This window comes from Homo sapiens, chromosome 1 (genome assembly GCF_000001405.40).
Source record: "Homo sapiens chromosome 1, GRCh38.p14 Primary Assembly".
Classification (NCBI taxonomy): Eukaryota; Metazoa; Chordata; class Mammalia; order Primates; family Hominidae; genus Homo; species Homo sapiens.
The window spans coordinates 60,961,802-60,979,285 of NC_000001.11; the positions used below are offsets into that span (position 1 = coordinate 60,961,802).

Genomic DNA, 17,484 nt, shown 5'->3' on the forward strand with positions numbered 1-17,484 from the left:
ATGCAAAAAAAAAAAAAATTAGCTGGGCATGATGGCATGCACCTGTAGTCCTAGCTGCTCAGGAGGCTGAAGTGGGAGGACTGCTTGAGCCCAAGAGCTCAAGGCTGCAGGGATCCATGGTTGCACCACTGTGCTCCAGCCTGGGTGACACAGTGAGACCCTGTAATAAAATAAATTTTAAAAAAACAATCCAGATAACTCTAGCACCAAGGCCTATAATTTAAAATTTTCTGTGGACCTCTATTTTTCCTCTCAAGGCTTTGAGTTGAATACACTCTACCCTGCATAAATTGGCCAAATTTTTATTTTTAATCAGCAATTGCTGTGTGTCAGGGGCCAACCAAGTATTACACCAGTTGATCTTCACAACCAGTTTAGAAGTTGGCCCTATGATTAGTATCCCCATTGTAGAGATCAGTTAACTGAGGCTTGGAGAGTTAACTTGCCCAAGGGTTCTTCAGTTAGCATGCAGCAAAATGGGACCCTGAACACAATGTTGTCAGAATCCAGGTCCTAAACTCTAATCAACTACGTCTTAAAGAAAGTATAAATGAAAAATACAGGTGGCAGTCTAAGAAGACACAGAAGAATGCAAAGACTACATCCATTCATTCAAATGTTCAACAAATACCTATTAAGCTCCGACGGTACCACAAGCATTTTTTTTAACCCTGAGGATATAGTGATGATCAAAAAAGGCTGTCATGGGAATAATTTCTTTCGGAGACAGCAGATGATAATAGAGGAACATATAAGATAAATAAGAAGAATCCTGCAAGAGAGAAGTACAGTGAAGAAAATAAACCAGGGCAAAATGGGAGGGTCTGCTTTATATTGGGTGGTCAGGTAGGTTTCACCCAAGAAAGTTGCCTATAAGCTGAGGCTTCAAGGACAAGAAGGTACTAACCTTGCAAAGGTTTGGTTAAAACACCTTCTAGGCAGGAGAAATAGCGAGTGCCAAGGCCATAAGGCAGGAATGGACTTGATGCCTCCACAGAAGAGGAGGAGGCTGCAGTGATGAGTGAGGGAATGGTAGAAGAGGAGGTCTGAAAGGAGGGGCAGTGAAGTCTCGGGGGCCTGGCAGGTCATCACAAGAAATTAGGTTTCATTCTAATTAAGAGAGGAAGCCATGGAAGCATTTGAACTATTTTCAATGATTTGCATTATAAAAACATAATTTTGACTACTGTTTGGAGGGGACAAGAAGTTGCAGGGAGACAAGAGGGGAGGCCACTGCAGGACTTCAGATGGAGCGATAATGTTAGCTCAGATCAAGTATAAGTTAGCAACATGAAGAAGTGGCCACATCCTGAATGTAACTGGGGAAATTGCTGACCTGACTTGCCACTTTACACTTTTGGAAGTGGACAGGAGCTGCTGCCTTTCTGATACTCCCACATGGTGCCCCCCTGCCAGCTGCTTTCATTATGTTTTGACCGGCTTCTGCCAAGTCAGACTACAAAAACTTCACTGAAATAACAGAATGTGATGCCGTCATCTCCTCTGCACACCCCAGGAGAGGGTTTTATAAAGTTTCACAAACAACAACACCTGCTAGGAAGCCAGACAGCTCCCCTGACCACTGCCCAGGCTGACCCAGACAGAAGAGAGAAGACACTGGCAGAGAACTCCCTGCTCTTCTAAACAGCCCCAGGGGTGGTTTGCCCTGTTCACTGTGGTCAAAGTGGCATTACTACTTCAGAAGAAATAGAAAATGAGGTGAATAGAAAACAGAAGAAAGTTGAGGTCACAATAAGATACCACCTCATATATTTAAAGGAAACTGAGAGACGCTGGGTTTCCTCCTGGCACGTCTGTGAAAATGCGAGAAAGGTCTGTCTACCACCAACTTGTTTAAACCAGGGGAAATTCATCAGAAGGATAATGAAGAACTTGACAGGGAGCATTCCTTTGTGTCATGTTCTCAGGAGTGAAGACAGCTGGTGGCATGCAATCGTCTGCAGGTCTGACTCAGGGAGACAGAAGGTTGGGCACAAGGTGAACTGTCAGGAGAAAAAAAAATTGAGAGAACCTTAGAGAAGATGACCTTTGTACATAATTGATCTGACAGAGCACTGCCCACCCCATCACTACAGCTGAAATATGGCCACTCTCCCATGTGGGAATGCACTTGCGTTTAAGGGCACCAGACGCCATCTATTAAGGAAAGTGTTTAAGCAGGAAGGATAACATGTCTGTCAGTCTGAGCTAGTGATTCTGGGGACTCAAACACCATGCCAGAGTCCAGGATTAAAAAAATTCTACCTCTATTCTAAATAAAAAGGAATTTTATTCATCAAATGAACAAAGGAACAGAGTGAATGGCTTATGACAACCTCCCCTCCTGACATTTGGTTTGTTAGTTGTACTCAGGGAAAAAATGTTGTCCACTCTAGAGAACTTCATAAAAAGTGGTTCTAGAATTATTCTCAGCTACTTGAGTTTGCTAATTCCTAAGGGTAGGGTAAAAGTTGTCCATTATTTCATCAACAAATATTTATTTAGTATTCATCATTCTGCTAGGAACAATATTAAACAAGATAGGCACACCAGCCCTGCCCTCATGAACTTAACAATTCAGTCAGCTTTCAGGCCTTTTCAGATATTTAGGCATATGTATTAGTCTGTTCTCATATTGCTATAAAGGACTGCCCAATACTGGGTAATTTATAAAGAAAAAGGTTTAATTGACTCACAGCTCTGCATGGCTGGGGAGGCCTCAGGAAACTTACAATCATGGCAGAAGGGGAAGGAAGCACAACCCTCTTCACATGATGGCAGGAAAGAGAAGTGCCAAGCAAAAGTGGGAAAAGCCCCTTATAAAACCAACATAACTCTTGAGAACTCACTCACTATCACAATAACAGCAGCATGGGGTAACCTCCCCCATAATTCAATTACCTCCCACTGGGTCCCTCCCACAACACATGGGGATTATGGGAACTACAACACAAGGTGAGATTTGGAGATTTGGGTGGGGACACAGACAAACCATATCATTTCTCTCCAGTCCCTCCCAAATCTCAAGTCCTCACATCATTTCAAAACATAATTATCCCTTCCCAACAGTCCCCCAAAGTTTTAACTCATTCCAGCATTAACCTAAAAGTCCAAGTCAAAAGTTTCATCTAAGACAAGGCAAGTGCCTTCCACCTATAAGCCTATAAAATCAAAAACATGTTACTTCCAAGATACAATGGGGATACAGGCATTGGGTAGATACACTTGTTCCAAATGGAAGAAATTGGCAAAAATGAAGGGGCTACAGTCTCCATGCAAGTCCAAAATGCAGCAGGGCAGTCAAATCTTAAAGCTCCAAAATGGTCCATTTGACTCCATGTCTCACATCCAGGTCACACTGATGCAAGAGGTGGGCTCACACAGCCTTGGGGAGCTCTCCCCCTGTGGCTTTTCAGGGTACAGCCCCCCTCCCAGCTTCCTTCATGGGCTGGCAGTGAGTGTCTGAAGCTTTTCCAGGTGCATGGTGCAAGCTGTCAGCAGATCTACCATTCTGGGGATCTGTAGGACAGTAGCCCTCTTCTCATAGCTCCACTAGGCAGTGCTCCAGTAGGGACTCTGTGTAGGGGCTCCAACCCCACATTTCCCTTCCACACTGCCCTAGCAGAGGTTCTCCATGAGGGCTCCGTCCCTGACACAAAACTTCTGCCTGGACATCCAGGCATTTCCATACATCCTCTGAATTCTAGGGAGTGGTTCCCAAGCCTCAGTGCTTGACTTCTGTGCACCTACAGGCTCAATACCACATGGAAACTGCTAAGGTTAGAAGCTTGCACCGTCTGAAGCCACACCCCATCTGTATCTTTGCCCCTTTTAGCCATGCCTGGGATGCAGGGCATCAAGTCCTGAGATTACACAAAGCAGCAAGGCCTTGGGCTCAGCCCACAAAACCATTTGTTCCTCCTAGGCTCCCTGGCCTGTGATGGGAGGGACAGCTGTGAAGGTCTCTGACATGTCCTGGAGAATGTTTCCCATTGTCTTGGCAATTAACATGTGGCTCCTCATTACTTATGCAAATTTCTGCAGCCAGCTTGAATTTCTCCTCAGAAAATGGATTTTTCTTTCTATCACATTGTCAGCCCGCAAATTTTCCAAACTTTTATGTTCTGCTTCCCTCTTAAACATAAGTTCCATTTCCAAACAATATATTTGTGAATACATAAAACTGAATGCTTTTAACAGCACCCAAGTCACCTCTTTTATTTATTTATTTTATTTTATTTTTTCAAGAAGGAGTCTCACTCTGTCACCCAGGTTGGAGTGCAGTGGCACAATCTCAGTTCACTGCAACCTCTGCTTCCCAGGCTCAAGCAATTCTCCTGCCTCAGCCTCCCAAGCAGCTGGGATTACAGGTGTGTACCACAACACCCAGCTAATTTTTTTTTTTTTTTTTAAGATAGAGTCTTGCTGTGTCACCAGGCTGGAGTGCAGTGGCACAATCTCAGCTCACTGCAACCTCTGCCTCCCAGGTTCAAGTAATTCTCCTACCTCAGCCTCCCCAGTAGCTGGGACTATAGGTGTGCGCCACCAAGCCCAGCTAATTTTTGTATTTTTAATAGAGACAGGGTTTCACTATGTTGGCCAGGATGGTCTCAATCTCTTGACCTCATGATATGCCCACCTCAGCCTCCCAAAGTGCTGGGATTACAGGCATGAGCCACCACACCTGGCCCACACCCAGCTAATTTTTATATTTTTTGTAGAGACAGGGTTTCACCATGTTGGCCAGGCTGGTCTCAGAACTCCTGACCTCAAGTAATCTGCCCACCTCAGCCTCCCAAAGTACTGGGATTACAGGCATGAGCCACCGCGCCCAGACCCAAGTCACCTCTTGAACACCTTGTTGCTTAAAAAATTTATTTCACCAGATACCTTAAATTGTCTCTCTCAGGTTCAAAGTTCTGCAGATCTCTAGGGCAGAGACAAAATGCTACCAGTCTCTTCATTAAAGGATAGCAAGAATTACTTTTGTTCAAGTTCCCAATAAATTTCTCATCTCCATCTGAGACCACCTCAATCTGGACTTCATTGTCCATATCACTATCAGCATTTTGGTCAAAGCCATTCAACAAGTCTCTGGGAATTTCCAAACTTTCCCACATCTTCTTATCTTCTTCTGAGTCCTCCAAACTCTTCCACCCTCTGCCTGTTACCCAGCTCTAAAGTCACCTCCACATTTTCAAGTATGTTTATAGCAGCACCCCACTACCTGGTATCAATTTACTGTATTAGTCCATTCTCGTGCTGCTAAAAAGGACTGCCTGAGACTGGGTAATTTATAAAAGAAAGAGGTTTAATTGACTCACAGTTCTGCATGGCTGAGGAGGCCTCAAGAAACTTACAATCATGGTGGAAGGGGAAGCAAACACGTCCTTCTTCATATGATGGCAGGAAGGGGAAGGGTCTAGCAAAATGGGGAAAAGCCCTTTATAAAACCACCAGATCTTGTGAGAACTCACTATCACAAGAACAGCAGCATGTGGGTAACTATTTCCAAGATTCAATTACCTCTCACTGGGTCCCTCCCACAACCTCCATGTGGGTATTATGGGAACTACAATTCCGGAAGAGATTTGGGTAGGGTCACAACAAACGACATCAGCATATCTATGACAAAGGATTAAATTCAGTTTAATTCAACAAGACTGCACTGGACCCTTATTCTAAGTAATACAAGCATAACTTAAGAATTATTCATCCAACAAATATTGAAAAAACAACACATGTGACTTACTGCGTTTTGGGAGACACATAGTTGATTTCGATCTAGATAACTCTCTCAAGGAAGCTGCAGTGTGGTAGGAATGATAAGACTTGTACATAGATAAGTAACACCAATGATAGAAAATGATAAATATCATTTTTAAAAAGAGAAGTGCAGATGGTGAAATTTAACAGGAAGGATAAGGAGATGACCAATTCCAGGAGATGGGCAAAATCTATTCACTGCCTCAGTTTCCCAATGCATTCATTCATTCACTCAATAAATACAACTTGAATCATTGCCCTATTCCAGATACTGTTAGAGTCAGGGATGAAAACTAGACTAGAAGAGAGAGAGAGATGACAATTCCCTGGAATTAATACCTTAATATAGGTATATACGAGATACGGAGGGAAGAGAGAGGAGGGAACTTCCCAGCCTGCCTGTGGTGAGGGTCAGTTAGCAAAGGAAAGTTTTGTCAAGGAAATGACCCTTTGCTGAGTGTGGAAGAAAAGGGAACATCTCAGGAGAAAGAAGGGGGAAGCCACAGCACTCTAGGCAGGAAGATAACAAAGATTCTCAAAGGGAGAGACAGGGTGCATGTGGGCAGAGGGTGGGGGACAAGGCAGGGGCGGAGGCATAGGGAGCCTCTGCCAGTTTTCTCAGGGAAATGGGAGGTGAGGTTGACAGACAAGGAGGGGAGGTGGTGTGGTTTGGGGAACTGAAAAGGCAAGATAGGCTCTGGAAGGCTTCTCTGGGAAATGCAAGAAGATACTAATAAAGAACAAATAAAAGACAGTTCCAAAGTAGAAACCACAAATTTTTATGTGGCATTAACTACACATCATAATGCAAAATACTCCAAAAATACTTAGTGCTCTGGGCATGAGAGTAGAGAAAGTGGAGAGAACACATCATTGGACAGACAGAGCATGTGCGTGTGCAAGGGAAGGGGAGGGGTGCCATGAAGAGTTCAAATGCAAGTGTGTGGAGTCTGTCCTGCCTGATGGACTGAGAGAAAGTGGATCAAGGAGTTGGAGCTGGAATGGCAAATAGTTTTCATCTCACGCATCAACTCCAGTTGATGGAACCTGTGCTGAGAAGGATCCCAAAGCAACCTCTGGGTTTAATAGGAGAGTGGCATGATCAGTCTGTGAGGTTCTCAATGAGCTGGAAAGAGTGGCAACAATCACACCAGGCATTGGCCATCTCTGGACCAGAGGCCAGACAAGGCTGTGAGAAGAGAGAGGAGTAAGAGAAGTAGCAGGACAGGGGGCTGTGGCCAGAGTGAGATGTTGGAAGGTGAGGTTTCGTGAAGACATCAAGGCCTAGAACATGGCTAGGGAAAAGTTTGGCTGACTGAAGAACAAGGCACAATCTAGTGTTCAAATACCTTCATGCTGCTGCTCTTGCCTCACTGAAGAGGTAAAGTGTCTTCAGAAGACATGTGACATAAGGGAATGGTGGATGGTTGAAGAAACACTTGGCTGTTCTAATGTAAACAGAAGAAGGAGTGGGAAGCTCTCATTTCTCCATCATTATCAGGCTCTGTTCTCAGGAAGCCAGAGAAACCTATGGCATGCTGCCTATGCAGGCCTCCTCCAGACCCATGGCTCAGACAGACCCGCCTGAACTCCAGCAGAGAAACAAGCCCCTGACCATTCCCTTCATCAGGGCAGGCAGGATGCAAGCCAACAGCTTCTCCTCCAGTGAGCCAATCCCATTACTTTTTTCCTTTTTAACTTTGTAAGAACACGTAACATGAGGGCCACCTTCTTAGCAAAATTTTAAGCACACAATACAGTATTATTGACCATAGGTAAAGCGTTGTACAGCAGATCTCTAGAACTCACTCATCTTGCTTAACTAAAACTGTATGTCCATTGATTAACAACTGTTCATTTCTCACTCCACCTAGCTCCTGGCAACCACCATTGCACTCTTTGATTCTACGAATTTGGCAATTTTAGATACCCCACATAAGTGGAATCATGCAGTTTCGTCTTTCTCTGAGTGGTTTATTTCATTTAGTATAATGTCCTCAAGATTCATCCATGTTGTCACATATTTTAGAGTTTCTTTTTTAAGGCTAAGTAATATTCTGGGATGTGTGTGTATGTGTGTGTGTGTTCCACATTTTCTTTATCCATTGATCTGTTGTTGGATATTTAGTTCATTTCTACATCTTGGCTATTGTGTATAGTGCTGCAATGAACATGGGAGTACTAATATCTCTTCAAGATCCTCATTTCAATTCTTTTGGATAAATACCCTGTGGGACTGCTGGATCATATGGTAATTCTATTTTTAATTTTTTGAGGAACCTCCATACTGTTTTCCATAGCAGCTGCACCATTTGGCATTCCCACCAACAGCATGCAGGGTTCCAACTTTCCCACATCCTTGCCTGAATCTCTTTTTGGATTCCGGAGTGACAGTGTCTCAGGATCTTGGCGGGGAAGGACCATCACCTCCTCATAATCCGTGCCACTCTGGAGGGCTGAGCACACAGTTCTCCTTGTTTCCCTGTTTGCCAGCTTGCCTTGTGGATAAATGCAGAGAAGGATTCAGGATTGGAGGGAAGGGTGAATTCACGGCCCTACAGAGCATGTCTAAAAGCATTTGTCAAAAAAAGAGTTAATGACTGCTTCTCTGCGGGAAGCCCTAAAGAAATGAGTGTCCTGAAGTGTAGAACATTCGCTTTTACGGTAGGTGGTGTTATTGTTACATGTTCATACAGACAGTGCTAATTAACAATCCTAAAGGCCACATCATTAAATTATTTCTCCGCTAAAAACCCTATGATGTTTAATGCGTCCCAGCAATTCAATTATATCTAAAACACTGGCCTGAACGGCAGGCACTATTCTGTGGCTGACAAAGTGCAAGTTGCTCTTAAGAACAGGTGAAGCTTAACAAGGAAAGAACAACATCTGACAAACTACCTCCCTGCTCTTCTCCCTAACATACACCCTAAGAATAAAAACAACAGTGATATTCCAAGAAAATTAACGTGGGTCTTACCTTTGCTAGGCTGGCGATGAAATATAGGCTTTACCAAATTTTCTGTGAAGAATCTGACAAGATTTTCTTAAAAGATTTCACCCAAAATAATCAAATCAGTGCCCTCAGATCTATTTAAGGTCCATCGGGTTTCACTGTTTTTTCTCTGGATCCTACCACCCATCCTTTGTCATTTCTAACCACTGCAAATTGCATTTTGGGTTTGAACTTGGGGTGACTTCATGGCTTTGGTCTGGGTTTTTCCTGGATGTGTATCACAGTCAGCAGAGAGCACTTTGAAGAGCACACAAAGCCTCTTTGTCTCCCACTCAGTGAAATATCTCAAGTACAGAGCACAGTGAAAAAGGGCTTCTTTCCAGCTTAAACACACACACACACACACACACACACACACACACACACACACACACACAAAAGAAGCTCTTGCCCTTCCCTGCCGCCCCCAGCTGCTGTGGTGAGACAGTCTCTGCACAGGCACAGGGCCCAGTGCAACTGGCCAAGTGGCCTCAGTCCTCTGGACAAGGCTTGGCAGGCAGCACCATGACAGAACCTCCTGCTTGGAAGGTGTTGGTGCCGAGACTGCATCTGGGAGCAGCACATATGTGATTCCACTAGTTTTTACACAAAGAGGCAGACTATGCCAGTGGCCAGCTGGCCAGCTGGGCACTCATCTGCAACCTTAGAAGCAGGAGTCAGGGAGCAACCCACTGATCCTCTTGTCATGGTCTTCCCAAGTGCCCAGTTTCCACATAAACCATTTCCTCATCACTCTCCTCCCTAACACTATCCCAACAGTACCCTCAAGGAGGCCCCACTCAGCTCTATGAGGACAGGGGGCTATGTATCTCCTTAGCTCCATACCACCAAGCACACTGCCTTACATGGAACACACTCTCAGTAAAGGTTTCTTGGATGGAAAGATGAATGAACAGATAGACAGATGGATGATGGGTGGGTGGATAAGTGTGTGCATGGATGGGTGTGTGCAGGGATGGGTGGGTGGATGGATGGGTGGGTGGATAGAAGAATCTTATAAACCATTGTTCGGATCCTGGCTCAAACATTTTCTTTTTGTGAGATCTTGGGAAAATTACCAAAACTAAGATACTACAAAACTAAGCCTTTTGGTTTTTTATCTGTACAAAGAATGATAGCAGTTACGGTGGAGATTGAGAAAATTCAGTAAGCACCTGATAGTAGGTGCTCTGTACACATTCATGGTTTTTACCCAGGAACTGTTTATAGATTATCAAGTCCCTTGCTTCTGTAGGAGGTCTTTCCTATCACTGTCGAATTCATTGCTCACTTGCATCTCTCCCAAAGGGATGGCAGAGGAAAGGTAGTAAAGGGTGCTTAGAGTGGAGTGAGGACTACAAGAGGGAGCACCAGTATTGACTGGGGATGCAGGGTTTCTAATTTTTCTAGCCCAGAAAAATTCAGACAGGCATGGTTTGGAGGAGACCTGGGTTCCAGTCAAGGCCCTGTCCCCAACTAGCTGGATAAACATGGCATGATCACCTCTCCCTTGTGGTCCTAGATTTCTTCTATGAGATAAACTCATATGATTGCATGAATGCTGAAGTCTCTTCAACTCCCAACTCTGTGATTCTATCCTTCGAGATCCACTTAACATCTTCTTACCTCCTCATTGAAGCCTGTCCTGACCATTCCTGCTGACAATAAATTCTCCCTCTTCTCAGAATCTGTGACTCTTGTCTGCGCTATGTGTCTGGAAATTAGTTCACTTCATAGCCTTGCAATGATGATGATAGCAAACTCTCAAATCATACTAACTGGAGGACCAGAGATTATTCTTAGCTACACACATACGCACACACACTTGAACATATGCATGCACATACACACACATACACACATAATCATTACATTCTCATAATACCTCTCTATGAAGTGAGCAATCTCAAAATCTCATTTTACAGATGAAAAACTGACACATAAACACACACAAAAAACTTACCCAAGACCAAACAGCTTTAAGCACTGGGCCAAGTATTTGAACCCAAGCAGGCATGACCTGCTGTTACCAGGCTGTCATAGGTCTCCTTGTTATTCAGCATCTCACTCCTCTCCCCAGTAGCTTCCCTAAGCATAGGGGCAGTGGGGTGCTGTGGCTAAGTCAAAGGACTCCCTGTCTAGACCACCTGTATGTGAACCCCAAATCTATTTTACTGCTTTGTACCTCTATTTTCCCATGCATAAAACAAGAGTAAAAAGTGCACTCCCTCGTAGGGTTGTTATGAGAATTAAATTAGTTACTCTAAGTAAAGCATTTAGACCAGACATTTGCTGTTATTGGGTGTAGGAGCCCAGCCTAAAACATCTCTGTAGTCTCTATGCCTCATACATAGGGAATGCTTTTGTGTTGACTCAGTCAAGAACATGGGAGGAGGAGTCAAACAGACCAAGTCCAGTCCTAGCTCAACCACAGATTAACTTTATGACCTTGAGCATGTCAGTTAGCTTCTGAGTCTCAGTTTTCTCATTTATAAAATGGGAATCACACGTGCTGCCCAGTGAATCCCACAAAGCTGTGCTACTCAATTCAACAAGACATATGTGTGCACCGTGCATAAACTATTAGATAAGTGGAAGGGTTTGTAACTAGTTTAGTCTAGATGAAACCACCGCCTGAGGATATCTGAAGGTCTCTGCTCGAGGGCTGTGGTCACCCTACTTCAAAAGCAGAAGGGACAGATCCCTTCAAAGGGGCCCTGTTTGTAGAACTCTTGCTAAGCCACATAATGTTATCACAAAAGCATGTTGCAGAGAGGACCTCCTGATTTTATCAAACTGGAGAAACCACCCTTCCATGCCCAATATGGGACAAGTCATGAGTTTTCAGCTGTGTATGGCTTTGTTCCAAGGCATACGAAGAGTTTTGCCTGCAATGACATATAGGTGCCCATTCGGTTTGTTGCAAGTTAGGAAGAAATTGATTTTACAGACCAGACAATATAATGAAAAGGGCATTTTTAGCTGTTTGCTATTTCCCTTTGGAGTTAGACACATTTATGTTTCGATGGCAATTTAATCACTTACAAGTTATATGACCTATTTAATTTATCTCAGCCTCACCTAGGACATTTGTGAAGATTAGAGACGTAGCACAGCTTGTGGCACATGAGAAATGTTCAGTGAATTTATTAGTCACTGTTGTTATCATTTCCCTCTTTATAGACTCCCAAGTTACATCGTTTCAGCCTGAACGCATGGACCCAAGAGCCCTCAAGCTCTGTCTTGCCTGTTCCTTCAACACATTGTTGAACTCTCCATGGTCTGAACTTTTCCTGACTCCTGCCAACAAACACTCCTTTGTCCCCCTCCCCATCAGACAGACCAGTGCCTGCTGAGACATGTGCCTCCTGATATGTTTCCCCATCCAGGTAACATTTGCTAAAAGACACTAACAATGGCTCTGAAAGATGCTAATTATGATCATTCTACGTCATACTGCTCCTGAATGCTTGCTTCCTAACTCATAAAATAGGATGCTAACATGCATCTCAAGGGCTTATCCTGATAATTAAAGAAGATCTTGCAACAGTTAGCTTTTGGTGCCTAACACATCATCCCACAACTTAGTGACTTATAATAAAAAAACATTTATTTAACTCACAGTCCTGTAGGTTTGTGATTTGGGCTGGTATCAGCTGTGCAGTTCTTCTGCTGGGTTCTTGATGCCTGGGCTCAGACCTCAAACTACATTAAGCTCACTACATTCAACTGGTCAAAACAAATCACAAGGCCAGCCCAGATTCAAGGAGTCGGGAAATAGACTCTGCCTCTTGATAAGAATTGCTTTAAATTATTGTGGCAATTTTTGCATTCCACCATAAGTAATAAATCTAAATCACCTGCTCCTCAAACTAATTTATTTGATTTCTCTCATATTTTTCATTCAGAAATCCTTGCAGGGCCTTTTATACGAAACTAAAAAACATTTATTGAGCCTTTACTATGTGGACAGAATTGCGCTAGGTATTGGGGAGGAAGGAAGGATTTAAGATATGTTTATGACAAAATCTCTGTCCTCAAGGTGCTTATAATCTCATTGGAGAAAATGTACATGCACAAAGATGAATTCTAAGGCCAGAGTAAAATACCAGTTTAAGGCAATAGTACAATAGCTGTCACAAGGGCAGGTATGATTAATTGCTAAGTCTATTGCACAGCCACCATCTCCTAAATCAGAGCACAGCAGGGGGAGATGGGTAGAGTCTGGGGTAGTCAGGGAAGGCTTGTCAAAGGAAAGAGGATTTAAGATGCGTCTTGAAAGACGGTTTGGTCCAAAGCACCAAACTCAAATGTCTCCCTGACATTCCCTTTCTATTCTTTCTATTCAGTTTCCCTGCTAGGGGGCCTTCTTTCAGAAAAGACTCCCTACAGTCGTAGCTTGTATGATTAAGCTCTCTTTCCAAATGCTGTAGGGAAAAATGAGGGAGATTCTAATCCTGGGAGCCATCTGTCAAAGGGAAGACCTTTCTTGATGATAGACAGAATTGTACAGTAGAAAAATTATGGGTGTTTTTAGTCCCCAAAGCTGGCAGTGTTTGTTTGCTTTTCTTCTGTGGGATTCTATTTCCTTATCTTTTATCTCGAATGGGGATTCTTCCTACAGCAGTACATGGAACATCACAGAGAATGTGAAGGTAATGCTTCTGGCATATAGCAGACAATAAATAGAATGTAGTTCCCTGTCTCTCATGCTCCTCCATTGCCTTTGCCATCTAGATCAAATTTATTTAGTAAATGTTCCATTCACCCTAATACTTAGCAATTGCTTCAGCATTAGGCCTTCACTCTTGTAGTCATGTGGCAAAGCTCATTCCAGAAGATCTCAGTGCAGCCCCTGGCACAAGTAAAGTGCTCAGTAAATATTTGTTTAAACGGCTTTCAGTCCCTGGAACTCATCATGCCCTCTCATGCCTCTGGGCACTGGCCCTTGTTGCTCCATCTGCCTGAAATAAGCCCCCTTTCTGCTTTCCAGCCACCAACGTAGCTAAGTCCCATTCCCTTCTTATTATTCATCTCAGGCATCTTTCCTGTAGGAAGATTTTTCTGCCCCTGTCCTCCACCCGCCCACCCGGCCCCACCTTGGGTTTAGGTATCCCTCCTCATTGTTCCTACAGAAGTGCAGGGAAAAGCATAGCATTTCAGAAAATGGTTATGGAACGGATGGATTGAGGGATGGATAAGTGGATGGATAAACAGAGGGATAGATGGAGGGAAGGATGGTTCAGTGAGATAACCCAGTCAAGAAATCAACTTGCCAAAAGCTCATTTCACATTTTGGACCAAGTATAAAATGCCTCTGGTGAAACATGAATTTTTTAAATCTGACATGGAAGCTAAACTTTCTACAAATATGTGAGAGCTGATAATTAAGGATCAGTTTCATAAAATAATAGACCTAACATGGAAAATTCCTGCTCAGCACATACACACTTAATACTCACCAGAAACAGCAGGTAAGCAACTTAATTAGAAAGAACCCCAACTAATGCATAAACCCAAGGAACAAAAGCCGTTCCCCTGGAAGTTTTCAGGGGCAAATTTAAGACAAGGTCCTTGGAGACAAGACTCCGTACCAACTGTCAGACTCAGTAAGCACAAGACCCCCAACTTGACATGTTGGGGAAAGAATGTTTCTGTCCACGAAAACTGAAGTTAGCTACTCTCAGATTCCCAACATAAATCATTTTCATCCTGCCAAAGGCTTCAGCTAGCAATGGGACCAGGAGACCTCAGCTCTCAGCTTCCAAATGTCCGCTTTCTCTCTCCATTCACAAAACCCTCACCACCCCTCTTCCTCACTTCATCATGCAACATTTCCCAAGTGTTTCAAGGTCACAGAAAAATAAACACTGTTTACTTAATTTGGAACACCATGAAATTTTTCTTTAAAAAAAAAGCAAAGCAATTTATTCAAATATTAAAGCTAGGAAGAACATAATATCTGAATTTAATAAAAGAAACTATATAACACCAGTGTATAATACTTTAAACGAAAGTGTCAAACAAAAGAGAAAGTACTGGCCTCTTCTTCCATATGTCCTCCCTTTAAAAAAATTTTTTTTAGTTTTTTTAGGGACAGGGCCTTGCTACATTGCCCTGGCCAATCTCAATCTCCTGGCCTCAAGTGATCCTCCCCATTATCCTCTCAAAGTGCTGGGATTACAGGCATGAGCCACCATGCCTGGCCTATTTCCTCCCTTTCCTTCTTCATCCATGCAACAAACATTCACTGACTGTTATGTGCCAAGCTGCTAGGCCCTTGATGTAAAACGGAGTAGGGCACAATTGTTTCCCACAATCTAGAGGAGACACTGGCATGTAATACACAGTTACTCTACAGTGTGAGAGTGCAAGGAGAGATAGATCCAGAGTCTAGCGGGGCCACAGAGAAGAAACATTCAAATCAGTCTGAGGGATCACAAAAGTCTTCCTAGAGAAAACAACATCTGAAGGATGAAGGAGATTTTAAGGACAAGAGGGGTTTGCCAGGCAAAAAAAAAACAAAAAAAAAGCAACAGTTTCCACACACAGCTAGAATGGTGTACACAAAAGTAGAGCAATGGATCAGCCTCAGAGAACCCTGGGTCATTCACTATTACTGGAGGAATGAGGAGATGAAGCAGAAGAGAACACCAGAGTCAGATCAGGAAGTGTCTTGTGTGCAAAGCCGGATTTGTACTTAAAAGCTATGCAAACTATTGAAGGCTGTAAGCAAACAATACCATAATCCAGCTTGCATTTAGAAAAATGATTCTGTCCTACTGTGAGTGATGGATAGTAGGGAAGTGAGACTGGAGGCAAAAGACCATCTAGAAAAATGTTGGAGGAAACTTGGTGAGAAGTGATGAAGGCCTGATGGACCACGGCACTGGCCGTAGGAAATATGGTTGAGGGTCTTTTACCTTTGGATGGAACCATGTATTTTGGATGAAACTTCCCAACAAAAAAATACATTGTGGCAACCAGCATTACCTTTGGTTTCCTTTGCATTTCTTTTATATTTGCTTTCCATAAGTAGCTGGTTTGGGAAAAAGGCATCTTTAGCGATCATTGTGGTCAGGAGCCCTACATTTTTGTCCTATCTCAATCATTTATCAGTTGTGTATCTTCAGGTGAGTCACTCATTCTCTCTGAGACTCAGTATTTTAATTTATAAATTTGATCATAAATTTTACCTCTTAGCTTTGCATAATGATTAAATAGAGGAATGTATATTATTACATATTATTATAATGTAATATATATTACATATTATAATGTAATATTTATTACATATTATTATGTAATATATTACTACATATTATAATGTAATATATTATTACATATTATTATTATTTAATATATTATTGTTTAGCCAAACATGTTGCAAAAATGAAGTAAAACACCACATACTGTATAATATTAGGAATATTTTGGATGCAAATGACAGAAAATTCCACCAGCCCTGGCTCAAATTAGATAAAGGAATATCTTGGAAAGTCTGTGAGCAGATTTGGCTTCAGACACAGCTTGACCCAGGCTCAGATAATATGTCCGGGATCTAAATCTTGACTCAGCTCTTCGGGTAATGGCCCCATTCTCAGACTCACAATGTAGGCTCCTCATCGCCCCAGCAGCTTCAGATACACATCACACTACACAGCACTGTCTCTTCCAGTAGGTTCTTCCACAAGCCTGGGACCACCACTCTCTGTCTCTTTCACTGGCCTGAACTGGAACATGTGGTCATTCCTATGACCAGAAAATAAAATTCATATATTGCCTTTGCCTATGTAAAGTGCTCGGCCCCTGGGACATATGAAAGTATAAGACTGAGAATGAGGGAGTGGCAGTTCTCCCAAAGCAAAAGTAGGGTACTGTTGTCAAATGCTAAGGGAAGATACCTTGGATGCAAAGCAGTCTACAAGTGTCCCTTATGCACACTCTCACAGTCAGGCTGCCACTCAAAGCCTCTTGCTGCTAATCAGCTGGATGGGGATTCACTGACCTTGCTGTTGTTGCCATCGTTTTGAGATGAGCTGGCCCTTCTTTCCACTTATGTCATAATAGTAAAATGGTTATTCATTGTCAAGCTTTGAAGTATTCTTCTGAATGCTCTCTTAGCACCTATGAGCTATTCAAGGATCACTAGGATTCTGCAGGACTCATTTAAGAAGCACTTCTAGAGGTAAGATGGGGCAGAGGGCAAGTGAGAGCTTCTAGCAACAAAGAGAGGGCCTAATGGGCAGGAATCAGATAAAAGAATCTGACAGTAATCAATAGTAATTGTATTTATAAGAGGCATCCTCTTCCTCCCTGGAAAGTACCTGCTAACCCCTAGGGACTTACCCATCTCTATAAGCTTTAAATCATTTCACCAATCTTTTACATCCAGCCACCTTGAGTAGACCCCAGGAGTCAGTTACCACTTTGTACTCCATCAGAACGTGTCCAAGGGCAGGGAAACACACAAACCCAAAAACTATGTGGCCATCAGAAACACAGAGGCAGCCATCGAAAACACAGAAGATGGTGCCTGTCAGTTCTTTGCAAGAGTAGAGAGGGGGTGAAGCTTGTCCTGCCCTGGAGGTGGCGACACTCACACACAGCAGGGGCCCTTAAAGGCTAGATCTCAGTATCAGTTTCCTTTAACTTTATTCTTGGATATGTTTATAGTTTACTCCTCTATTGCAAAGCAAGCTCCTTAGGGGTAGAGGCCATGT

The 17,484-nt window shown here is 43.1% G+C and overlaps 1 long non-coding RNA gene across 2 annotated transcripts in view; it reads right to left on the minus strand.

The window, feature by feature from the left end:
* The window catches only part of NFIA-AS2 (NFIA antisense RNA 2), a 30,497-nt gene extending 21,558 nt beyond the window's left edge, over positions 1-8,939 (minus strand). Inside the window, exons 1-2 of one of the 2 annotated variants that reach the window (NR_110617.2) lie at positions 8,747-8,939; positions 1,765-2,003 (exon numbers count right to left, since the gene is read on the minus strand). This is a non-coding gene — a long non-coding RNA (NFIA antisense RNA 2). Of the gene's footprint in view, positions 1-1,764; positions 2,004-8,129; positions 8,265-8,746 lie in introns of both variants that reach the window. The other variant, NR_110618.2, reaches the window with a different exon arrangement.
* Positions 8,940-17,484: the final 8,545 nt, after the last annotated feature.